General features: G+C 42.2%; 1 long non-coding RNA gene and 2 pseudogenes across 2 annotated transcripts; 1 reads left to right on the top strand and 2 right to left on the bottom strand.

The window, feature by feature from the left end:
• Positions 1 to 2,689: 2,689 nt before the first annotated feature.
• Positions 2,690 to 25,242, bottom strand: USP32P3 (ubiquitin specific peptidase 32 pseudogene 3; annotated as a pseudogene). The gene is made up of 12 exons (NR_146076.1): positions 24,863 to 25,242; positions 24,270 to 24,418; positions 24,010 to 24,113; positions 23,497 to 23,655; positions 22,719 to 22,776; positions 20,079 to 20,253; positions 19,067 to 19,266; positions 10,975 to 11,166; positions 8,679 to 8,967; positions 6,821 to 7,246; positions 6,057 to 6,149; positions 2,690 to 4,920 (listed from the first exon to the last, which is right to left on the bottom strand). The product of NR_146076.1 is annotated as a ubiquitin specific peptidase 32 pseudogene 3 (transcript).
• Positions 17,256 to 18,738, bottom strand: FAM106B (family with sequence similarity 106 member B). Its single transcript, NR_172097.1, has one exon. It is a non-coding gene; the product is annotated as a family with sequence similarity 106 member B (long non-coding RNA).
• Positions 19,063 to 19,967, top strand: SRP68P3 (signal recognition particle 68 pseudogene 3; annotated as a pseudogene).
• Positions 25,243 to 26,198: the final 956 nt, after the last annotated feature.

Genomic DNA, 26,198 nt, shown 5'->3' with positions numbered 1-26,198 from the left:
TTTGGGGATGAGATGAGTGAGGGGCAGGCCTGCAGGGATAGAGCAATTGCATACTCGGTGTCACCTGGGTCCCGAGGGGCAGGACGAAGGACAGATTAAGGAAGGCTTCCTGGAGGAGGTGGCTCCTAAGCTGTCAAGTAGGCTAAGAAATGCTCTATGCATGGGCTACCCACTTCCATACACTCGCCACACACACTCACTCAGATGCACTCACAAACTCCCACCCACACTCACACATCTGCATCCACACACACACTCACAGCATGTATACCTATTCCATCCACACACACACTCACATGCACTCACGATCTCCCACCCACACTCACACATCCGCATCCACACACACATTCACAGGCATGTATACCTACTCCATCCACACACACACTCACATGCACTCACGATCTCCCACCCACACTCACAATGCACATCCACACACACACAGCATGTATACCTACTCCATCCACACACACATATAGGCAAATTCACACACACCCACACATGTGCACAGGCACCTACACACACACACACCACATATTGTAGTATTTTTCTGGGGAAACAGAGAAACAGTCACTCTTTTGAAGAACCTCAGAAACTGCACAAGAAGAGCTCTTCATTTATCATCAAAATTCAGATAAAGTTGAAGGTCTAACTTCCAAGAAGATCTAGACTGTTTTCCAGATTGTTATAAATGCATCTTCGGACATGAAGGAGCACCTCACGGTTGCATTCAGATACCTCCTGGGATGTGATTTAGTCTTGATGATTATCATTACATGTCAGTGAATATAGTTTGATGGAAACTTTTAGGGAAACAAAAATTTTCAGAAACTGTGTCCAGATTTACTGTAGTAGTAGTCAACTCTGAGGATACATTTTTTGACCAGGCAACTATTGTTGGGGGCCCTATACCTGACTTGGAGAGGTGTGTTTGTGCCTTTTAGGTAAGATGAGGAATAGAGGGCCCTCAGACTTAAGAGCTACATGTGATATTTGAGATAAATTGATCCTTAACATTTTTCCCAAGTCAGAGTTCTCATTACTTGTCTCCTTGATGCCAATAGAGTAAAATGCAAAATGGCTCACCACAAATGCAAAATGGCTCAAAGCCCCTCCCTTTCAACTGGCCACATCCTGGCTTTCCTGGGCTCTTTCTACTGAACCAAGCTCTGTGTTCCAAGAAATCATCCTGTCCTCAAATCTCTGTACCTCGTTCTCTGCCGAAGCCATGCCCAAGCAGTTCCCTTTGCCTGGTATGTTTCCCTCTCCCATTTTCCTGCAACACTGCCCCTCAACGTCTTCAATGCGAGGTTCCAGCCCCTCCTTCTAGAAGCTTCCAGAAGCCAGTATTGGGCTTTGGCATTAAACAGCCTGTGTTCAAACTCCACCTCTGTCATTGACAGGGTGACTCTGAGTACGTGGGTCCTTTTGAGCCTCTGTTTTCTAATCTTAAAAAAAAAGGGAGGGGAAAATATTTACTTCACACTTTTATTTAGTTTGTCAAAGATTAAATGAGACAATGTGAGTGAAACTGACCAGCATACAGGAGATAGTCAAGAAATAGTTCAGTGGATAATGGCATTTCTCTCCTGATGAAGTTGGATTAACCCTCTCTTCTACAGTCCGGAACGATCTGTACCTTATACAGCTGCCTTGGATCTGAGGTTTCTGGGTTTGTGAGGTGGGCTCATCTTGGTCTCTTGCCTGGTGACTTTAGCATAATCCTTGCTCAAAAAATTAAATTAAATGAAATAGACTCTTTGGGTATCGCTTTCTTTTTTTCTGCCACATTCCTTCTAACAGCCACCGAGCCTGAAGACAGCAAAGCTGCCCAGACTTTTCTCCTGGGCTCCAGCCCCTCCTGTCTGACTGCTCAAAAGAATCTCAGCAAGCAGGTCTCCCAGGCACCTCAAATCCAGCCTGTGTAAACCTGAGCTGCCTGTGTCCACACTCCTATATCCTAGAACCATGGTTCTCAAATGTGGGTGTTTTTGCCCCCCAGGTTACATTTGGCAGGGTCTGGGGATGTTTTTCTTTGTCACGACTTGGACAGAGGGTCCTTCCTGGCGTCTTGTAGGCAGAGGTCGGGGGTGCTGCTGAACATCCCACACTGCATAGGACAGTCTCCGTAACAAGGAATGATCCTGCCCCAAGTGTCACTAGTGCCGGGTTGAGAAATCCTGATCAAGAGGGAGCCTTTACCTGGTAGGTCAGGCCATTGCACCGCTCTGCTCACCATCCCCCGGGACTGGTGCTGTGGAAGACAATTTTCCACGGACTGGGGGGCTGGGGGGAATGGTTTCAGGATAAAACTGTTCCACCTCAAATCATCAGGCATTAGATTCTCATAAGGAGGGCACAACCTAGATTGCTAGCATGCGCAGTTCACAATAGGGTTCGTTCTCCTGCGAGAATGGCATGCCGCTGCTGATCTAACAGGAGGCAGAGCTCAGGCGGTAATGGGAGCAAGGGGGAGCGGCTATAAATACAGCTCACCACTCACCTGCTGCTGTGCAGCCCGGTTCCTAACAGGCCATGGACGGTGCTGGTCTGTAGCCCAGGAGTTGGGGAATCCTGCTCTACAGAGTTTCCAACCTCAGAGATGAAGCATCCCCTCTGTAAGTCAGAAAGAAATTATTCAAGTAGGAGAATTAAAACAGGATCACAGAGAGGGAGGCTGAAGAATTTGACTTTCTGTGTTTACTTGTATGAGGAAAAACAGTACATAGAGGCATCCACAGTATTTAATTTGTTTGGATAACAGTTACAGATAAATAGGTACACCCCATATACAATTACCAATACTTTTTATACAGTTCATATTTCAGTACATCAACACTATTTTATTTACACTCTATTTATGCACATTAACATCTTTCTAAAGTCAGTGCATTGTCAACAAGTTTTATACAGTCATTTACAAGGTGAATGTGGTTAATAGTTAATTTAATAAATTTTCCGCTAGTTCATGAATTAAAAAAATTAATTACAACCAGTATAACAAACACAGATCAAACAACATTAGTAGATTGTGCTACCTGCTTAAATAAAACATCTGTAAAGAAATTATTTAAGATCTTCCACTTTTTAATGGGACATGTCCAGGTAGGAAAGGACAGATTTTATATACTGAAAATCTTGAAACTATAAAGTATGCATTTTGTCTGACTTTATTACATTAGATAATTTAGGCCACTCCTACCTATTTGCAATTATATTTTTTCTGAAAAGGATTTCAATTTAGGTAGCCATTTAAGATAACCTTTCCAAATGCTCTGAGAACTAGATATTAATAGTTACTGGCCTCAGATATCAGAACACAAATGCTTAGTTACACTGGTAATTACTACCTATGAGGAAGAAAGTGTAGTGGAATCTGACAATTAATGAGAATCAACTTGCAGGGTCTAAATGAATAAACAAAGACCAAAAATAAGGTGAAACATTTCCTTCAAGTATATATTAAAAAACTACATGAAAAAAATTCTACCTGAAATAAATAATATTTATACTTTTGTCCCAGTCTTGAATAATTAGAGGAAAAAATGAAGTAAACAAAGAAACATAACTTTCAATGACTACTGTAAAATTTTTTTAAAAAGACTAATATCAAAATAAAAAAATTAGTGGACATGCAAACAAAGCAAAACTAAAGTTGACTTCCTAAAACCACCAATTTCATTAAATATACTTATGAACTCCTAATGTCTGGGATGTGTTTTGTTTGTAATTCATAGCCCTTGGAGCCATCAAATACACACAAGCAAGTTCATTTGCATGTGTTCTCTCTTTTTTAAAGTGCAAAATAAACATGGAAAAGAACCACCACTAATTGTGAAACGTGATCTAGCTCCGATGCCGCTTACCTTCCCAGAAGCTCTTGTTGCAACATGTGCATGTGAAGATGGTGCAAATATTGGCAACTGCTCCCCTTCCCTCAGCATGGGCGGGGCCGGGGGTGCAGAATACATTTCTGAGGATACCTGAAGTATCCTAAATGTAAGATGCCTCCACTGGGAGGGCCATGGTAGCTGGATTTCCCAGGATGTTTTTCTTTCTACTGGGTCTCCCTCTGAGTAGAAGGCACATAGCTCTTAAGAGAGCCTCCCTTTCAGACTGACCACTCTATGCCCCTGCCACCAATGACTGGTTGTGTCTCAAACTTAAACACAACGGCAAAAACAAAAAGCAAGAAAGACAAAGAAAGGGTATGGAAACTTTAAAAAATAAATTGAAAAATCCTCGCCCATGCCGTAAGAATCATTTGCACACCTTCATGATCTTGCTTTCACCATCTTGTCAACAGAATGGAATAAAACTTCAGGAAAAAGGAGGTAGCATATCATGTCATCCCTAGACAACATTACAATTTTTTGTTTTTTACTTTGACTCCAAGGAAATCTTTAATATTTGTTATGATTATTGATAAACTCTATACTCACTACATATTTGTTCATATCTGGACAAGCACAATTGAATTCTTATTTGGTCCCAGGTGGCTGGTGCCAAACCTTTTGTTTACAGGCTAATGGTGGGATCTGCCTGAAAGTTCTCTATCGGACAACTTGCATGAGACTTCAAAATAAAATTACTGCTACTCTTAAAGTTAACTATTTTAATTAGAATTTGTATTCTAACAGGATAAAATAACTACATTTAGCTTGCCTCTCAGTGACACTTTTGCCAAGTATCAGCTACAAGGAGTCATCTTCCTCCCAACCAAGCTGTCTAGCAGCCAGAGTGGTAGCTTTACTGTAACACACAGTACTTTTTGTAATCAGACTCAAAGTCTTCATCCATACTGCTTGTGTCTGCCATCTTTTTGCCATCAATCTTTGGCAGAAATTGTGCGTAGTCTATCCTCTGCTGCTCATAGAAAAGAATGTAGGCAGAGTCGGTGTCAATTTCATCAGGGTGACGTTCCTGAAAGGGCAAGAAAAACCTTTAACAAAAAGCCATCACTATTATGGCTCTAAATCCTTGCCAGGAAAGGGAAGACCAACCCTCTGTAATTACTAAACCTGATTGCTTCCAATAAGCTCACTAGTTTGGCTGTCTCACACCTGCCCCTTTAAAATGAGCCCCATTATTTCCAAAGTTTGCTTTGGAGAAAATATTTTGACCATAGACAAGTCAAAAGAGAATGACCTAAAACCCCATCAAATTCTATTTATTTATTTTGTATTTATTTATTTTTTTGAGAAGGAGTCTTGCTCTGTCACCAGGCTGGTGTGCACTGGCACGATCTCAGCTCACTGCAACCTCTGCCTCCTGGGTTCAAGTGATTCTCCTGCGTCAGCCTCCTGAGTAGCTGGGACTATAGGCATGTGCCACCACGCCTGGCTAATTTTTTGTATTTTTAGTAGAGACGGGCTTTCACCATATTAGCCAGGATGGTCTCGATCTCCTGACTTCATCATCTGCCCACCTTGGCCTCCCAAAGTGCTGGGATTACAGGCGTGAGCCACTGCACTTGGCCCAACCCCATCAAATTCTAACAGTCTAGAAGATAGGAGCTTTTTGCATTAACTAACTCCTTTTTTTTTTTTTTTTTTTTTGAGACGGAGTCTTGCTCTGTTGCCCAGGCTGGAGTGCAGTGGTGCAGTCTTGGCTCACTGCAACCTCCACCTCCCAGGTTCAAGCCATTCTCTTGCCTCAGCCTCCTGAGTAGCTGGAATTACAGGCATGTGCCAACATGCCCAACTAATTTTTGTATTTTTAGCAGAGATGGGGTTTCACCATGTTGGCCAGTCTGGTCTTGAACTCCTGACATCAAGTGATCCACCTCCTAAGCCTGCCTCAGCCTCCCAAAGTGCTGGGATTACAGGCATGAGCCACTGCGCCCAGTCAACTAACTCTTTATTTTTCCTCACTACTCATGTTTTCATTCCCTACTCTGCATATCACTTTTGTTTCTTTAATACTGACAGCATCTATATATTGATTCTAACAGAAATATCTATTTCCTATTCAAGAGATAGTCTATTATTTCAACAAATGTTTCCCAGTTCTGTTGATATTCTGTTTCTAACCTTCATTCAAAGATTGAGAATGTTTACCTCACAGATGCTGCCATTGTAGCAGTACCACTTGCAGTTTGGGTTTTTCGCATAAGTGACGTAACGGCCCCCACTCAGAATTCCTGAATGGCACTGTAAGAGATAAGAGAGTGGATGTATGTTAGTTGTTAACTGTACTATGTACTATGGCCAGGGTATAGCACTAGGATCTGAGCAGGAGAACAGTGATCATGTAAATGATCAGTAGGTGAGAAAATATTTTAGAACCCTCTAACTTTCTCTAAAACCAAAATAAGCAAAAAGCAAAATACAAAAGTCATAAGCTCCAAGTCTTGTGTGGATAAACAATCATTTTATAATGTAATTACTATTATTATTATTATTTTGAGACAGGGGCTTGCTCTATCACCCAGGCTGGGGTGCAGTCGAGTGATCACAACTCTCTAAAGACTTGGCCTCCTGGGCTCAGGTGATCCTTCTGCCTCAGCCTTCCAAGTAGCTGGGACCACAGGCAATGCCACCATACCTCGCTCCATTTTAAAATTATTTGTAGAGATGGGGCCCAGGCTGGTCTCAAACTCCTGGGCTCAAGCGATCCTTCTGCCTCAGCCTTCTAAAGTGCTGGGATTACAGGTGTGAGCCACCACACCTGGGCAGGCCCAGATTTCTATGTTAACTTTCTCTATCACTAAGCTCAATGCTAGGAAATAAGCAGGACCTGAAAAATACTTGCTGATGAATACATGAAAACAAGTGAACAAAACACAGACCACTCTCCGAAAACCATACAATAAACCACTTACTGAAATTGCATATAGATTATAAATAGGCTTAATATGAGTGTCTTCTCTTTGGTCATCAGTGCTGTCTTCTTCACTGTGGTTTCCAAGCTGACCATTGCTGTAGCCATTGCCACATGCTTCATGCTCATAAAGGAATCCATTGGCCAAAGCTACCTCGTGGTCCTGAGGAGTGACCAGCTCTGGTTGGCTGCCCCCACCGCATATGCCCTCGGCTCAAGGCGTCAGCCAGCTCACAGATCTGCCCAGCCCCATTCTCTTTGCTGGCATCCAAGTTCTTCTTACTACTTGACAGTTTATTTTTGCTGCCAATCTGGGGCAGCCGGAGCCTCCCTTTGCTCCTCCCCAAAGTCCGTGGGCTGCTATTAGGGCTGCTGTTTTTGCTGGAGGGACAGCTGGTTCCACTTTTTCTTGATGAAGAAGGAGAACCTGTGAACAGGACAGAAGAAAAGATTCACAAATCCAAATGCCACAAAGTAAGCCAGCCCCAAATGCTAACTCTGAGGTTAGCTTCACAAATGTACACACAAAGGTAAAGACAGGGGAGTCGTGACTGGCTACCCTTTAGTTCCTATTGTGTGGCCAGTAAGTTACATTTTTGTCTTCTTCAATGCCGAGTCCCTATAAGCAACAATGTCCTGAAAATGTAAAGTAGGTTATAGGGACTCAGAAAATAGCGGAAAGATGATTTATGTCAGATTCAGTTGAAAAAAATCTAATTATTAAGAGTAAGGAGTTTTCCAAATACATATTCCTCTCCTTTGTAAAATTAGACAAAAAATGCAACCACCATTTACTGAGTACTTCCTATTGTTAGGCATGGTACTGGGAATTTCTTGCTGTCCACTGTTACCTCTATGTCTCACAAAAATCCTGTAAGGCTTTAAACTTTTTGGTTATAGCCTCTTACCCCTACCCCCTTTTATACCTTTAAAAATTATTGAGAACCTTTAGAACTTTTATATGAATTTTATCTATCAATATTTCCTGTATTAGAAACTAAAACTGAGGCATGAAAAAGTACAATACATTAGCACAGACTTCACTGTCAAAGTGACGATATTATTCCATGTCGTCTCTTACACCATTGTACATCTGTGAGAGAATAAAAGCGAAAAGGCACATATTGTCTTAGTATTTTTATGAAAATAGTTTTGGGCCAGGCACAGTGGCTCACACCTGTAATCCCAGCAGTTTAGGAGGCCGAAGCAGGAGGTTCACTTGGGTGCAGGAGTTCGAGCCCAGCCTGGGAAACATGGTGAAGCACCATCTCTACAAAAAATACAAAAATTAGCTAGGTGCAGTGGTGCGTGCCTGTAGTCCCAGCTACTCAGGAGGCTGAGGTGGGAGGATTGATTGACCCCAGGAGGTCGAGGCTGCAGTGAGCTGTGATCTGTGTTGCACCACTGCACTCCAGCCTGGGTGACAGAGTGAGAACCTGTCTCAAAAAAGTAAAAAATAAAATAAATAAATAAATAAATAAATAAATAAATAAATAAAGAGTTTTGATCCTCTAGACCCCCTGAAAGATGGGGAACCTCAGAACTTTCACTATAAGGGGACAAGACAGCAGCTACCATTCCTGTTTACCATACATCAGGCACTGTGTGAAGTGCTTTACTCTCCATGTGTCAAACTCTCAACTCTGTAAACCTGGCATTATCTCCATTTTACAGATGAGAAAATAGATTCAGGGAGGCTGAATCTCTTGATAAAACTTACATAGCTCAAATACAGATAGGTCTGATTCCAGATAGGTTCCTTCCACCCAACCAACCTGATGTTCCAGAACAGAAGACAGAAACATATGTAGCCTACAGGAGTCCCAAGAAAGCAACTGCATAAGGCCCCCAGGCCTCACCTTTTGGGCTGCTGCTGATGTTAGCGCTGAGTGAGGATGGGCTTTTGCTCAGGAGCATGTCCTCTTCCCCAGCCAAACTCTGCACATCCACTTTCTTCACCTCTCTTGCCAGAATCCTGGGCTTGGAGAGCTCATCCCCCTGGGGTGTGAGTGGTTGATGCTGGCAGAGAGCTGGGTCTCGTGGTACCAAAAAAGCACTCGGATCAAAACTTTCCCGAGGAAATTTGACAATTTTCTGTGATTTTATCCACTGATCATTTACAAATTGAAATCACTTAAGGTGAATAATCTGGAGAAGTAAAGGTAGAAAACATCGCATTAAAGCGTTCTGAAGATACAAAATTTACATGGAAAAAACAAGTCAAATACATGTGAATGTTTGGGAATATATAACAGAACATTTGCTCTTCATTATTTTTTAAATACTTCAAAAATATGGTTTCCTAAAGGCCTCTACACAGGCCCCAATGCACTGGCGTGCTTGTGCACACACTCAACTCAGCAGTGTGGCACAGCCACCTGACTGCGCAATGGGTATTGCCTCCAGGCTCAGTTGCTCTTCTAGAGTCCACAAAGGGCTAGCCTGAGCTTCCACTCTCCACAGAGCCAGAAGTTCACCCTCTCCTGAAGTTCAAATTCACCACGTTGTACCCCTTGTGGCAGTTCTCACATCACACTGAATTGCAGTTACTGGGCTACATGACTGCTCTGCTTGTTTTATTTGATGATTATATGAAAATATATACTTGTTAAAATTCATCAAACTGGATATTAAAAATCTATGCTTTTAATTGTATGTTAATTATACCTCAATTTTTTTAAAAGGTCTCCCCCTCGGCCAGGCGTGGTGGCTCACACCTGTAATCCCCATACTTTGGGAGGCCGAGGTGGGTGGATCACGAGGTCAGGAGATCGAGACCATCCTGGCTAACACAGTGAATCCTCGTCTCTACTAAAAAAAATAAATAAAAAACACACAAAAAATTAGTCAGGCGTGGTGGTAGGCGCCTGTAGTCCCAGCTACTCGGGGGGCTAAGGCAGGAGAATGGTGTGAACCTGGGAGGTGGGGCTTGCAGTGAACTGAGATCTTGCCACTGCACTCCAGCCTGGGCGACAGAGCGAGATTCCATCTCAAAAAAAAAAAAAAGGTCTCCCCCTCCTCCCCACCCACCTTGTCCCCAAGCCTGCCCCTTCCCTCTAGTTCCTATCTGTGGAGCTAGCTGACAACCAGTGTTATTAATTTCTTGTGCATCATTCCCTGGGAAGCTGTTCTGGTCCAAGAAAAACTTACATTCAGCTTCACAGAGTAGTGTGACAGAGACATGATTAGAGTAAGAAAATACGGCTGGGCATGGTGGCTCATGCCTGTAATTCCAGCACTTTGGGAGGCCAAGGTGGGTGGTTCACCTGAGGTCAGGAATTCGAGACCAGCCTGGCCAACATGGTGAAACCCCATCTCTACTAAAAGTACAAAAATTAGCCAGGTGGTGGTGGTGCATGCCTGTAATCTCAGCTACTCAGGAGACTGAGGCAAGAGAATCACTTGAGCCCAAGAGGTAGATGTTGCGGTGAGCTGAGATTACAACACTGCACTACAGCCTGGGTGACACAGTGAGACCCTGTCTCCAAAAAAAAAAAAAAAAAAAAGAAAGAAAGAAAATACATATAAATATCTGATTAAAATAGGCCAGTACCTTACAGTTACACTGACCTTAATGAATAGGAAGATTTGTCACTTCAAACTCTCCTGACAAACAAAAGGACAGTCTCCTAATCCATGAAGGGAGAAGGCAGAAGTAAATTGAATCTAAAAGAACACACAGGCCCTAGTGCACTGGCGTGCTTGTGCACACACACTCAACTCAGCAGCGTGCCACAGCCACATGACTATGTGCAGTGGGTGTTGGGGGCTCCGGGCTCAGTTGCTCTTCTAGAGTCCACAAAGGGCTAGCCTGAGCTTCCTCTCTCCACAGAGCCAGAAGTTCACCCTCTCCTGAAGTTCAAATTCACCACGTTGTACCCCTTGTGGCAGTTCTCACATCACACTGAATTGCAGTTACTGGTCTACATGATTGAGCTCTTCTTCTAGGTTGTAAGCTCTTTAGGAAAAGGAACTACCAAATATTTGTAGAAAGATTCATCTCTGTATTCAACATAAAAACCTTGTACAGAAAGTGTTTTAAACACTGCTGCAGGAAAAGTCTTATTCTCAAAAATAACAAAACCTCCTGTTTGTTCATGTCTTCTTTCTTTTATGCTAGATTCCTGCTCTCTCAGAGGCAGGACTGTAACATACCAGGAAGGGTGGAAGCCTCCAGAGATCCAGCTTCTTTGTTGCTAAGCAGTGGGTCTTACACTTGGAACAGTAGTACATCTCATCTTCCCCTAGCTCTTCCTCACTGGTGAAAGCACGGAGACAGCTGTCCAGGTTGATGGGCTCGACTTGCACTCGCCAACTCTGCTCCACACTCTCATGCTCATCTACAACCTGTAGGTAGAGGGAACAGGAGGAAAGGGGTGTGTGGGAAGGCATTTAAACTGGTGATCTAGCTATGCATCAACCTCTCGGTCACTCACCCTTATTTTACTCTATATAAGGAAAAAGAAAATATAACTGGCTGGGTATGGTGGCTCAGGCCTGTAATCCCAGCACTTTAGGAGGCTGAGGTGGGGGGCATTGCTTGAGTCCAGGAGTTCGAAACCAGCCTGGCCAACAGAGTGAGACCCTGTCTATGTGAAAGAAAAACCTAAAAATGAGCTGGGCGTTGTGGCGCATGTCTCTAGTCCCAGCTACTCAGGAGGATTGCTTGAGCCTGGGAGTAGAGGTTGCAGTGAGCTGTGATTACGCCACTGCACTGCAGCCCAGATGACAGAGAGAGACCCTGTCTCAAAAAAAAAAAGGGAAAAGAAAACACAACCCAAACTAGAGTCTGAGCAAATACAGCACCTACACATTTATTCACAAATGTTACATTGTAACATTCTGGATAAAATTTCTATTTATATGATCATAGCTTTTCTTGAAAAATTTTTGAATGCTTCAAAATGACAAAAAGAACTGCATTTATTTAACAACTTTGGAATCCTATAAGGGATTACATGTGAGCTGGCCCTCAAACCAGGGGTGATGATAGTAAGCCATTTATCTTTAATCAGAAAGCCAGAGCATTATTAGTATGCTGCAGAGTTTACAGAGGCTAGGAGAAATAACATGAAACACAGAAACCAGAGCTGGATGAAATAAGGGCACAGAAAAGCTCACCATGAGAAGACAACACAGCAGAGCACGAAACACCACAGGGTACAACTCATTTACATCTGATCCCATGTAACACAGAGTTATCAGAATACCAAGTCTATACTTATCTGTCTCCTCCCTCATGGGGCCTTTTTATCTGAGATGGCAACAAAAGGAAGAACAAGCTCAAGAGTGTGCTGCTTTTGTTGAGAAGGCCCCTAATACCCACCCAAACCTTTGGGGTCCTGTTAATCAGCATGTTAGGCTGTGGAGCAAGAAGGAGTTAAGTGTAAGAAAGGAGAGAGAGCAAAGAATGGGCGGGGTGCAGGGATATGTGTTGGGGGTGGTGTAGAATGAAGAAGGAGGAGAGAAGGAAGGATCTAGAGTGCAGCAGAAAAGAAAGAATTTTTCCCTCTCCATGCCTGGCTGCTACCTGACAAACAATCAAGAACCATAGAGCTGGGATCCTTCTGTTTGTCCCTCTAATGTATGGGAAGGTGGGTGAAGCATCAGGGTTATGAATGCTACCATAAGACTTCACACAGTTTATATTTGTGTCCCAAAGCAGAGCCCGGACCACAAGGCCCATACTGACGGCCTCTCTGTGGCAAACGTCACATATGTCCATCACCCACCCTATTTATTGCTCCTCACCCTTCCAGAGGTGAACTTCCTCCATGAATTTCCCTTCCTGAAACTCACGATGGGAACCTTAGGCTGCCTGGAATACAAATTGGCACAGCTCAAGACACGCAGCTTAGCATGGGTTTTCAGGCGAGACTTTTTCCCTATGTGAGAGTCACGAGGCTGTCAAATGCTGTTATAAACAAGCAAGGTTGGGTTTGATCATGCAGTTACGGTTCTAGCACTGCATAATTACCCAGGCTAAAGAGCTCATTTAAAAAGGGGAACTTAGAGGAAAATTCTTTTTTTAGAAAAGGAAATCTGGCTTGGACTTGGGTTATAGACTTCTTTTTTGAGTACAAATTCTGTAGTAACAAGATATTAACTGTCATCATCTTTTGAACTGGTCACTCAAGGAAAAAACACGTGCTTCAAAAGGAAACGTGCTGTATCATCGTTGTTGGAATGAGTAGAAAAAGGGGTGTATCATATACGATAGTGTTTCCTTTCTCATGGCCAGTTAAATATTATCTCTATTATCTCTACCAGGAATACTTTACGGCCAACCACAAATTAGAGTAAGCTAGTAAAGAATGTTGAATTTTATTGACTATATTTTCTGTGGAACACAGGCTACAGTGCTAGAGGAAGACAGGGAGGAAAGATGGCTGATAAACAACATATTTGTGGACTGTACTGACAGTAATTTCTATTTATCAGTAAAAGTTCCCAAAGTGATAAAGATTCCCTTTACCTCTTGGGATCTATGCTTAGATCCTCTACTATTGTTTAAACAGTCTATGAATTACTTATACGCACCCTCTTCTTTTTCAGAGTTGCTTTAAAGCTCATCTTAACACAAAACACAGGAAATGAAGTAATAGTCTTCATATAAGACTATTAAAAAAAAAAAAGAGGCCTAAGAATTTGTCTAGTTTAATTTTCTTTTTTTCTTTTTTTTTTCTTTTTTTTTTGTGAGACAGGGTCTTGCTTTGTTACCCAGGCTAGAGTGCAGTGGCGAGATCACAGCTCACTGCAGCCTTGATTTCTTGGGCTCAAGCAATCCTCCAACCTCAGCCTCCCAAGCAGCTGGGACTATAGGTGCACAACACCACACCTGGCTAATTTGTGCATTTTTTGTAAAGACAGAGTGACATCATATTGCCCAGGCTGGCATCTAGTTTAATTTTCTACTGAGGAATCTGAGGTCCAAACAGGAGAGAAATGTAAAGGATAAGAGTGAGTGTCCCTGTATTTTTTTCTGATTACTAGGTATAATATTCATGTGGAAATTTTGGAAAGCAGAGAAAAATGTAAAAAGGCAGGGAATCCTTTTATATTCTTAATACAAAGGCAACCACTGTCAACATTTTGGCAGATTTTCTTCTGTCCTTTTTCCTAAATAGTATTTTTTTCAATATTGAAGGTATTATTTCCAGTATATGCAACTTTATGTCTTGTTTTTAAAAAAATGTTCACATATCATAAGCATGTTCCCATAAATGTTAGCAAAAACTCCTGGTAATCATTTTCAACAACTGCATTATAGTTTATCCAATGAATACACCATGCTTTATTTAACCACTCCTCTAATGTGAGACAAATATAAGTTGTTAATAACTTTTTACTCTCCTAAAAAATGCTATGATGATATTTGCCTGCAAATTATGGAGTAATTACAGAGTATTCTCCCCTCAGATAAATTCCTAAAAGGGAAATCACTGGAATAAAAAATATAAAACATATGGACAATAATTCCAATTTAAAAAGATGTTAATGTATATAAATAGAGTGTAAATAAAATAGTGTTGATGTACTGAAATATGAACTGTATAAAAAGTATTGGTAATTGTATATGGGGTGTACCTGTTTATCTGTAACTGTTATCCAAACAAATTAAATACTGTGGATGCCTCTATGTGCTGTTTTTCCTCATACAAGTAAACACAGAATGTCAAATCCTTCAGCCTCCCTCTCTGTGATCCTGTTTTAATTCTCCTACTTGAATAATTTCTTTCTGACTTACAGAGGGGATGCTTCATCTCTGAGGTTGGAAACTCTGTAGAGCAGGATTCCCCAACTCCTGGGCTACAGACCAGCACCGTCCATGGCCTGTTAGGAACCGGGCTGCACAGCAGCAGGTGAGTGGTGAGCTGTATTTATAGCCGCTCCCCCTTGCTCCCATTACCGCCTGAGCTCTGCCTCCTGTTAGATCAGCAGCGGCATGCCATTCTCGCAGGAGAACGAACCCTATTGTGAACTGCGCATGCTAGCAATCTAGGTTGTGCCCTCCTTATGAGAATCTAATGCCTGATGATTTAAGGTGGAACAGTTTTATCCTGAAACCATTCCCCCCAGCCCCCCAGTCCGTGGAAAATTGTCTTCCACAACACCAGTCCCTGGTGCCAAAAAGGTTGGCAACCACTGATGTAGAACAAGATCCCTACAGTGGGTACTACCCTACAGAGGTACTACTACAGGGGGTAGAACAAGATCCCTCCAGTGACCAGGTGACTTTAAACATGGCTCACATCCCTTTTAGAAAGTTATGGCAGGGAAGCAAGTAGAGAGCAGGTGGTAAACTGAGGATTGGTGCCTACATCGGTACCTACACTGGGTCCTACAGTCACTTTTGTGCAGATCAGGAGATGAGGTGAAGAGAAGGAAAGCTTCTCATTTGCATAATGCCTTGAAATGACCCGAGGTTTCTAGGGGGCACCGAGAAACCAGAGATGTCCCTTGTTGTCTGTCTGGGAAATCCAAGGGGACAGTTGGCAGTGTTGAGAAGAGATGAAGGTGACAGCTGTAGGTCCTTCACCCTCAGCTTCTATTTGTTCACCTATAAAATTAAAATACCGAACACTCAGGCTTGTAAGAATTAAATGAAGGACGCAAATGCCTGGCACAGTTGCTTGGTAAGTGCTCAATCCAACGATACTCAATCCTATTTTACAAAATGGGTTTTTTTTGTTTGTTTTGTTGTTTGTTTTTTTACCTCCTTGCTATACTGATGCTAAAAGAGTTTAATAGTCCTCTGGTCACATTTTCCAAAAACAAGAATACACATTAAAAATGTATAAAATGGGCCAGGCCCAGTAGCTTACGCCTGTAATCCCAGCACTTTGGAAGGCCAAGGCAGGCAGATCACCTAAGGTTGAGAGTTCCAGACCAGCCTGACCAACATGGAGAAACCCCGTCTCTACTAAAAATACAAAATAGCCGGGTGTGGTGGTGCATGCCTGTAAACCCAGCTACTTGGGAGGCTGAGGCAGGAGAATTGCTTGAACCTGGGAGGCAGAGGTTGCAGTGAGCCGAGGTCATGCCATTGCACTGCAGCCTGGGCAATAAGAGCGAAACTCTGTCTGAAAAAAAAAAAAAAAGTATAAAATGAAACATGTTGAATCAGCAGCAGTGGCAGCTTGTTTAAGGAAAGGAACAGACAAAATTAATACAGAAAGTCAAAAAATGAAGCACAACTCTTTTAAGTGCCAGTCTGTTTTTAGGTTTCTTTCTTTCTTTTTTTTTTTTTAAATAGAGACAGGGTCTCTGTTGCCCAGGCCGGAATGCAGTGAGGTAATCACAGCTCACTGCAGCCTCGACCTCCCAGGCTCAAGCAATCCTCCCACCTCAGCCTCCCCAGTAGCTGGGACCACAGATGTGCACCATCACACTCAGCTAATTTTTGTATTTTTTGTAGAGATGGGGTTTCACCATGTTGCCCAGGCTGGTCTTGAACTCCTCGGCTCAAGCTATCTGCCCACCTCAGCTTCCCAAAGTGCAGTGATTACAAGTGTGAGCTGCCATGGCTGGCCAAGGCTGTCTTTTAAAAAGCTAAAGATGTGTTGGTTCAAGACCAGTCTGAGCAATATGGCGAGACCTCATTTCTACTAAAAAGAAAAAAAAAAAATCAGCTGGGTGTGGTGGCCCATGCCTGTAGTCATCCCAGCTACTCGAAAGGCTGAAGTGGGAGGATCGCTTGAACCCAGAAGGTTGAGGTTGCAGTGAGCCTTGATTGTGCCACTGCACTCCGGCCTGGGTGACAGTGAGACTTTGTCTCAAAAAGCCTCGGAAGGAGTGGCCTAGGGAGATGAGCAAGCATTTTGTTTCTAGTTTCTGAATGGCCCTGTGCATTGAGAGAGGTCTTCGGCCTCCCAGCCTCTCTGGCTGAAGGTGGCGATTCTGCATGGAGTCTCTCCACCACTTGGTGGCATTGCTCACAGTGACTTCTTACTTCTAAACACTATTGAATTGGAGCAAGTAGATGATTTGCCACATTTTTCCCAGCTAGTTTGGAGGCTGAATATAGAATTTTACTGGGGCACACCAGAATGTGTACGTTGGGGAGCAGCGATCCCCGTTTTCCTTGATAATGTGCCGACAGCTTCCTTAGTATTGAAATCACAAAGTCAGAAATGCACACACCTCTATGATGAGAGATCCATACAGGAGAGAGCAACAAAAAGAGGCCTTTTAAGTTTGCCAGACTTCCTGACCAGTGGGAAGCAAGAGAGTAGATAAGTGTGCAACAGGCACAAACCCAGGCCTATAAGAACCTAGTTGGGAACAGAATGTAAGAGAATGGGGAGCGATGGGGACTCTAGTGTGTTCTGGGCACGTGCCCATCTAAAGTCTCCATGTGACTGTTGCCCTGCAGGAATGTGGGCCCCATTGTTCACCAAACCTTTTTTTTTGTTTGTTTGTTTCCCATGAAGAGAAGCCAGAAACCCAGATATTGATACAAAGTATCCAGTTTAGAAGTGTTGGTAGTTTTTTTAATTTTGAACATTGTGCTGCCCAAAGAAGGTATCTGCAAGCCAGGTACAAACCAGCAGTTCATGCCCTCTGGTGAGCAGAAATGTCGGAGGTCGAATTCTAGTTCTGCTGTTGCAACAGCTGTAAACGAAAGTCTTCAGATTTCTAATGCCCAATGGAAATGCCACTTTATTTCCAAAGGTTATTAAAAGGAATAGTTCATGTATGTAAGTAGGCACAGAGCTTGCCACCTATTAGGTACTCAAAAGCATTCTTCCTTCACCTAAGGAAACAATACAGGCATAATGCAACAATAATGTTACGATCAAGTTCATTATCAGGAGGCATACACCCAAACAATAGGGGAGTGAGCACCTACCACGTACAGAGCTCTCTGCTAGGTTCTCTGGGGGCAGCAGTTCCCAACCTGGCAATTCATCGGCATCATCGGAATCAGCCAGCAGCTTGTTGGATATGCTGAGTCCAGAGTCCCGCCCATATTACACCTAACGTTCTGTGCCTATTACACCCAGATTTATGAGATCCTCCTCTCCCATGCAGTCAAAGAATCTGCATTCTAATAAGTTCCTCAGAGGAAGCTCTTTTGCAGCCAGTTTGCACTGGTCTGTGGGTTGGTCACTTATGGAAACCACTGCTCCAGGGAATGAATCATGATTTCCAGTCTCATTAGGGAAAGATGATATGCATATGCACACATGTAAAGAGGAGTGACAGTAATTAGCCAAAAGCTCTGTGGACATAATTGCCTCTGATGAAGTGCTGACTGATGACATCAGACAGTAGGCTATTGACAGTGTACCCCGGGGAAAGCTAAATGCAAAAGAGAAGCGAACTGCCTCATGAAGTGAGATCAGGATTACAGGGTCAGAAATGTGGAGAGGGTGATTCAGATGGACAAAGGAGCAGAGGCAGGGTTCCAGTGATGTGTTTCGGAGGCAGTGCAGCCTGTTTGTGCTGAGTGGAAGGTGCACGAGGAACATAGTAGACGGTAACATGAAGGCAGGAGCTGTGAAGGCCTTTGAAGGTCAGGCCAGTTGTAATAAAACTATTTCACATTGTCAGGTATCTTGCGATGGTTGCCAAACATTTTTCTATGGTTTGCATAAATACATATCTATTTTATTTATGTATTTATTTATTTTATGTATTTATTTTATTTATTTATTTATTTTTTGAGACGGAGGTTCGCTCTTGTTGCCCAGGCTGGAGTGCAATGGAGCAATCCCAGCTCACTACAACCTCCGCCTCTCAGGTTCAAGCAGTTCTCCTGCCTCAGCCTCCTGAGTAGCTGGGATTACAGGCATGAGCCACCACGCCCAGCTAATTTTGTATTTTTAGTAGAGATGGGGTTTCTCCATGTTGGTCAGGCTGGTCTTGAACTCCCAGCCTCAGGTGATCCACCCATCTCGGCCTCCCAAAGTGCTGGGATTACAGGCATGAGTCACTGCACCCAGCCTATTTTAGTTTTCTTTGAGACGGAGTTTCACTCTTGTCGCCCAGGCTGCAGTGAAGTGGCACTATCTCGGCTCACTGAAACCTCCACCTCCCGGATTCAAGTGATTCTCCTGCCTCAGCCTGCCAAGTAGTTGGGATTACAGGGTCCCTTGAAGCCCAGGCCAAATGGCCCTGCTGTGGCCTTGCCCCAACTCACCCCCGACTTCCTCTGGGTCAGCCCCAACTCGTAGTGCAGTCCTCCCAGTTCCTCTGCTTCTCTGAGTATAACTTGAGCTGACGTGTGGTGCATTCCACCTACCTGACTTACATCAAGCTGTCAATGGCAATCAAGCGTAATGAGAGCATGGCCAAAGGTCTGCAGAGGGCTCTGCTGCAGCAGCAGCCAGAGGATGACAGCAAGTGCTTCCCCCGGCCCCAGGACCTGATCCGGCTTTATGACATCATCTTACAGCTGACCCTTGAGGACCGGGAAGGCAAGGGCCTGTCATTTTCCTTTGCCTGTGTCAGACACAAAATGACTTAACTTTGTATCATGGAAGGGCTGTGACAAGCAGGACCTGTTAGTAGCTGGGAAAAGACAAAGGTCTTACACCAGTTCCACAGTCTGTGAGCCCCTACCTCTCAGACATGCTGATCTGCAGAGAATAGTGACCCCAGATCATCACTGAGCACTTCACCTGTGTAAGATGCTCCCAGGTGCCATAGAGCATCTGAGACCTGAATCCATGCCATCTCGGCCCCCAGGGAGTTTGTCAGTCAGTAGGACTGTGAGACACACACAGTCAAGGCATCTGAGTAGATGCTAAGCAAAATAAAAGCTCAGCGCTGGAACAGATCCCTTCCAGCTAAGATGGGCCAAGAAGTCTCTGAAGGCGGGTGAGCTATGAGTTGAGTTGTAAAGGGCAAATCTGTTTCCAAGATGAGAGGGGAATGGAGGTGACAGCAGGTGTGGCTGCTGCCAGGTCACTTCACAGGCTTTTCCCCATTGTATTGACCTCGGGGTTTTTTTTTCTCACCATTTTCTGTTCTTACAAGGTCTTCTGTGAAAAATTCAACCTAAGATCTACTCTTCATGAATTTTCTTGTTGCATCTGTTGTACAGAATCTGGTGGAATTGCTCCAGCTTCCTGGTTTAGAGGAAGACAAAGCCTTCCAGAAAGAGATAGGCCTCAAGATTCTGGTGTTCAAAGCTTACAGGTAACGTCCCATGGGATGGGCAGAGTTTTCCTCTGCCTCCCAGGTTCTGTAAGCATTGGGAGCATGACCCAGCCCACAGCAGATGGGATCATTGGCCTTGAGTGTATGGTTACCTTGCCTGTGATCAGAGGAAGGTCAGCCCAGCACGTTCAAGGGGAGTTTCTAAAGGCTGTGGTCAGTAGTGGCCAGTGATGATGACTGCCCTTTGGCCAGGTTGGAGGAGTGGAGCACACACGTTAAACTTGGCTTCCTCGCTGGGTGTGGTAGCTCACGCTTGTAATCCCAGCACTTTGGGAGGCAAAGGCAGGATTAAAAACTTAAATCTAAAATGAAAACATATTAAAACCTTGGACGATAACCTAGGAAATACCATTGCAGACATAGGACCTGGAAATGATCTTCATGACAAAGATGCCAAAAGTAATTGCAAGAAAAACAAAAATTGGCAAATGGGACCTAATTAAACTAAAGAGCTTCTTTACGGCAAAAGAAACTATCAACAGAGTAAACAGCTCACAGAAAGGGAGAAAATATTTGCAACCTAGCCATCTGACAAAGGTCTAATATCCAGCATCTGCAAGGAACTTAAATTTACAAGAAAAAAAACAAACAACCCCATCAAAAGTGGGCAAAGGACATGAACAGATACTTTTCAAAAGAAGACATAACATGTGGCCAACAAGGCTATGAAAAAAAAGCTCAAACTCACTAATCATTAGAGAAATGCAAATCAAAACCACAGTGAGACACCATCTCACACCAGTCAGAATGACTATTATTAAAAGGTCAAAAACTAACAGAAGCTGGCAAGGTTGTAGAGAAAAGGGGACGTTTATGCACTTCTGGTGGGAATTTAAACTTGTTTAGTCATTGCGGAAAGCAGTTTGGCGATTTCTCAAAGAACTTAGAATTGCCATTTGATCCAGCAGTCCCATTGCTTTCCCCATTGCTTTTTTTAAGTGGAGTTGTTGAAGGTTGGATGGTTGTAGGTGTGCTGCATTATTTCTTAGCTCTCTATTCTGTTCCATTGGTATATGTGTCTGCTGTTGTAACAGTACCATGCTATTTCTGTTACTGCAGGTTTGTAGTATAGTTTGAAGTCAGCTACCAAACCACCAATGACATTCTTCACAGAATTAGGATAAACTATTTTAAAATTTATATCGAACCCCAAAACAGCTGGAATAGCTAAGGCAATTCTAGCTTACTTTTATAAGAATATAGTGTATAATACATAGAATATACAGCATATATATTAATCAACTTTGTTATGGGTAAGGTTTCTGGTCAACAATAGTTAATCAGGTCAGTCAGCAGTTACATTACAGGGAAGTCAAAATTTAGGCAAATTTTCGGCTGTGTGGGGTTCAGCCCCTCTAACTTCCACATTGTTCAAAGGTCAAGAGTACTGAAAGGGAAAAAAAACTAAAATGAGCCATGTGTGATTCAACTGGAATTAGAATCACCAGGAAGAACTCATGGTTTTCAGTATATTCTAATATAGAAATATCGATGAATATAAGCATGTATGTTTGTATATTTATCCATCTAGCTGTATTTTTCTGCTCTGTTCACTGAGGAAGCCTATGAGCAATGACAACTCCAATAGCCATACGTATCTACCACAATTACTGCCCAGATATTGGTTTCTAATTACTGTCCCCTAAAGAAAGTCAGGGCTTCTGGAAAAAAATGAAAATGGCTGATTCAAGGGCTGGGGCAGAGAAAATACAAAGTATGGTTGAAACAGCTTATGCCAGAAAGTAAGGAAGTATTCAAAGAACAATAAGGACAGTTCAAAAAGACATGAACTCAGCTTGAAATGGCTACCACTGGTCAAAGCGGAGGGAACCTGAACAGCAAAACAATAAATTTTCCCTTCTCCCCTATTTGTTGGTTGGTTTTGTTTTGTTTTACTTATCCACGTAGAAGGAATGAAAGATGAAGACAATCATGACTTGGCAACCACCATAATAATAATTGACCCAACAAAAATAATCAATGAAATGCTAAATCTAGTGGGTGAGATGTTTAGAGTAACCAGATATTTACAGAGCCTCAAACTATGCTCACATAAGACATTGGTGAAAAACAAAGGGTAGACAGTCACTTTATCATGGACAGACCTGGTAGATTCTCAAACAAAGTCAACACTGGCCAGTAATGGAGCCAAGTAACAGCATATGCCTCCAGATATGCTGCATTGGGAAGAACTTAGCCTCACTTGTGTGACCTTCCTGCCTGAATGGTATAACCTGAACTGAATCATGAAGAAATATCCTATGAACCCAAACTGAGAGAAAATCCACAAAAAACTGACCCATACTCTTCAAACACATAAATGCCATGAAAATCAAGGAAAGACTCAGGAATCATCCTGGACTAAAAGAGACTAAAAAGACAGAATAATTTGACACAGATCGACTCCTCCAAAGGTCAGCAACCTCAAACATCAAAGGTACATAGGCCCACAGAGATGAGGAAGAATCAACGTAAAAATGCTGAAACCTCTCAACATCATGGATTATGAAAGTCAACATCATGGATTGTAACATCACCCATCTTAAATTATTTGGCTATAAAAAATATTATTGAGACAACTGAAAAAAGTAAAATAAGGTTTATGGATGAGATAGTAACAGTAAACCATTTTTAATTTCCTGATTTTGATAGTTATACTATAATTATGCAAGATAATGCCTTGTTTTTAGGAGACACACATAAAATTATTTAGAAATAAAGAGGCATCATACCTGCAACTTATAAACCATTCAGAAAAAGTCTATATTATGCACCTACATTTATATTTACCTAGAAAGAGAAGAGGAAAAGGGGGAGAAAGGATAAAGCAAATACAGTAAAATGTTCACATTTGGGGAATAGTATCCAAGAATGTTTTGTAGTTTTCTTACTATTTTTCTATAAGTCTAAAATTGTTAAAATAAAACATTTCTAAAAAGAAAAAAATTGTTAAAAAAAATTGTCAAATTATAACCTATTAAATGAAATAAACCACAAGTAAATATCAAATCAAGTAAATGAATAAATTGAGTTTGATGAAGAACAGAGATATCTACATAGTCTCAAATTACCTCCCCACAAAATATTAATATTAATTAATTACAAGGTGAAAAAGTAACATTACAGAGGAGAAAGCTAGCAGACACCACTGTTTGTGATCAATGCCAACATCACCAGTAAAAGGGCAAATCAAAATTGTAGGTCACTCATGTTCTATGGGGCTAACAGAGCTCTAATTTCTTCCCGGGATGGAGTGCCTGAGGGGTGGGGCAGGCTGCCACCTAGGCCTTTCAAGCTTCTCAGCCAGTTCAGCCTGTGGGCCTTTGGACAGCCCAAACTGAATGGGAACTAAAGGGATCCCCAACACAGCACAGCTGGTCTACCAAAAAGTAGCCAGAATCATTCTTTAAGCAGGTCCCTTATCCCATTTCTCCTGACTGGAGGAGACCTCCCAACTGGGGTATCCAGCCACCTCCTACAGGCACTTTCGAGCCAGCAATAGGTCAGTACCCTGCTGGGATGGAGCTTCCAGAGGAAGTGGCAGGCAGCCATCTTTGCTGTTTCACAGACTTCACTGATGATACCTCCAGCTATGGGAAAAACCGAGGCAACTAGGGTATAGTGCGAACCCCCAGCAAACTGCAGCAGCCCTGCAGAAGAGTGGCCAGACTGTTAAAAGAAAAACAAGCAGGAAACAACAACAATAACAATTTAAAAAGCCACAAAAACCCCATCCTCAAGGTCAAAGTTTAAGATAGACCCACAGAGATGAGAAATAACCCCAAAATCCTGAGGACTCAAAAAGCCAGAGTATCCCTGCAACACCTCTCCAGCAAGGGCTCAGAACTGGGTTGAGCCTGAGATGGCTGAAATGACAGAGTAGGCTTCAGAATGTGAATAACAGTGAACTTCAATGACCTAAAGGAGCATCTTGTAACCCAATGCAAAGAAACTAAGAATCATGACAAAACAGTACAGGAGCGGACAGCCAAAATAGCCGGTCTAGAGAAAAACATAACTCACCTGTTAGAGCTGAAAAACACACTACAAGAACTTCACAATGAAATCACAATTACTAACAGCAGAATAGGCCAAGAAAAGAATCTCAGAGCTTGAAGACGATCTTTCTGAAATAAGACAGGCAGACAAGAATAGAGATAAAACAATGAAAAGGAACAAACGATACCATCAAAAAATATGGGATTACATAAAGAGAACGAATCTATGATGGATTGGGGTACCTGAAAAAGACAAGGAGAATGGAACCAAGTTGGAAAACATACTTCAGCATAGGATCCAAGAGAACTAACTTCCCCAAGTTAGTTCTAGCAAGACAGGCCAACACTCAAATTCAAGAAATCCAGAGAACTCCAGTGAGATACTCCACGAGGAGATCATCCCCGAGACACATAATCATCAGATTCTCCAAACTCTAAATGAAAGAAAAAATGTTAAGGGCAGTCAGACAGAAAGGCCAGGTCACCTACAAAGGGAACCCCATCAGATGAACAGCCGACCTCTCAGTGGAAACCCTACAAGTCAGAAGATACTGGGAACCAATATTCAACATTCTTAAAGAAAAGAATTTCCAACCCAGAATTTCACATCTGGCCAAACCAAGCTTCATAAGCAAAGGATAAATAAGATGCTTTTCAGACAAGCAAATGCTGAGGGAACTTGTTACTACCAGACCTGTCTTGCAAGAGCTCCTGAAGGAAGCAGTAAATATGAAAAGGAAAAACCATTACCAGGCACCAGAAAAACACACTAAAGTACAAACAACAGTGACACTGTGAAGCAACCACATAAACAAGTTAGCAAAATAACCAGCTAGCATCATGATGATGAGATCAAATCCACATATAATACTACTAACCTTAAATCTCAATGTGTTCTCCAATGAAAGACACAGAATGGCAAGCTAGATAAAGAACCAAGACCCATCAGTATGCTGTATTCAAGAGACCCATCTCACACACAAAGAAACACATAGGCTAAAAATAAAGGGATGGAGGAAAATTTACCAAGCAAACAGAAAGCAGAAAAAAACAGAGCTTGCAATCCTAGTTTCTAACAAAACAGACTTTAAATTAACAAAGATCAAAAAAGAGAAAGAAGAGCACTACCTGTTGGTAAAGGGTTCAATTCAACCAGAAGAGTTAACTATCCTAAATATATATGCACCCTATACAAGAGCACCCAGGTCCATAAAGCAAGTTATTGGAGACCTTCAAAGAGACTTAGACTCCCACACAATAATAGTGGGAGACTTTAACACCACAATGACAATATTAGACACATCATGGAGACAGAAAATTAACAAAGATATTCAGGACCTGAACTCAGCTGTGGATCAAGTAGACATGATAGTTATCTACAGAACTCTCCAACAAAAAACAAGCGAATATACATTCTTCTCATAGCCACATGACACTTACCCTAAAACTAATCATAAATTAGGAAGAAAAACACTCCTCAGCAAATGAAAAATAACTGAAATCATAACAAAGAGTCTCTCAGACCACAGCAAAATCAAATTAGAACTCAAGATTAAGAAATTCACTTAAAACCACACAACTATATGGAAATTGAACAATCTGCTCCTGAATGACTTTGGGGTAAATAATAAAATTATGGCAGAGATCAAGAAGTGTTTTAAAACTAATTAGAACAAAGAGACAACATAACAGAATCTCCAGGACTCAGCTAAAGCAGTGTTAAGAGGAAAATTTATAGCATTAAATGCCCACATCAAAAAGAGAGAAAGATCTCAAGTTAACAACCTAATATTACAACTAAAATGACTAGAGAACCAAGAGGAAACAAACTCCCAAGCTAGCAGAAGACAAGAAATAACCAAGATCAGGGCTGAACTGAAATAGAGACACAAAAAAACCTTCAAAAAAATCAATGAATCCAGGAGGTTTTTTTAAATTTACTTTTTATTTCAATAGGTTTTTAAGGAACAGGTGGTGTTTGGTTATATAAATAAGTTCTTTAGTGGTGATTTTTGAGATTTTGGTGCATCCCTCACCCGAGCAGTGTACACTGTACTCAATGTGTAGTCTTTTATTTCTCACTCCCTTCCCACCATTTCCGCTGAGTCCCCAAAGTCCCCTGTATCATTCTTCTGCCTTTACATTCTCATAGCTTAGTTCCCACATATGAGAACATATGATGTTTGGTTTTCCATTCTTGAGCTACTTCACTTA

The sequence above is a fragment of the Homo sapiens genome, chromosome 17 (assembly GCF_000001405.40).
Source record: "Homo sapiens chromosome 17, GRCh38.p14 Primary Assembly".
NCBI lineage: Eukaryota > Metazoa > Chordata > Mammalia > Primates > Hominidae > Homo > Homo sapiens.
The sequence above is the reverse complement of the archived record's forward strand: the minus strand, read 5'-3'. Positions and strand labels throughout refer to the sequence as shown.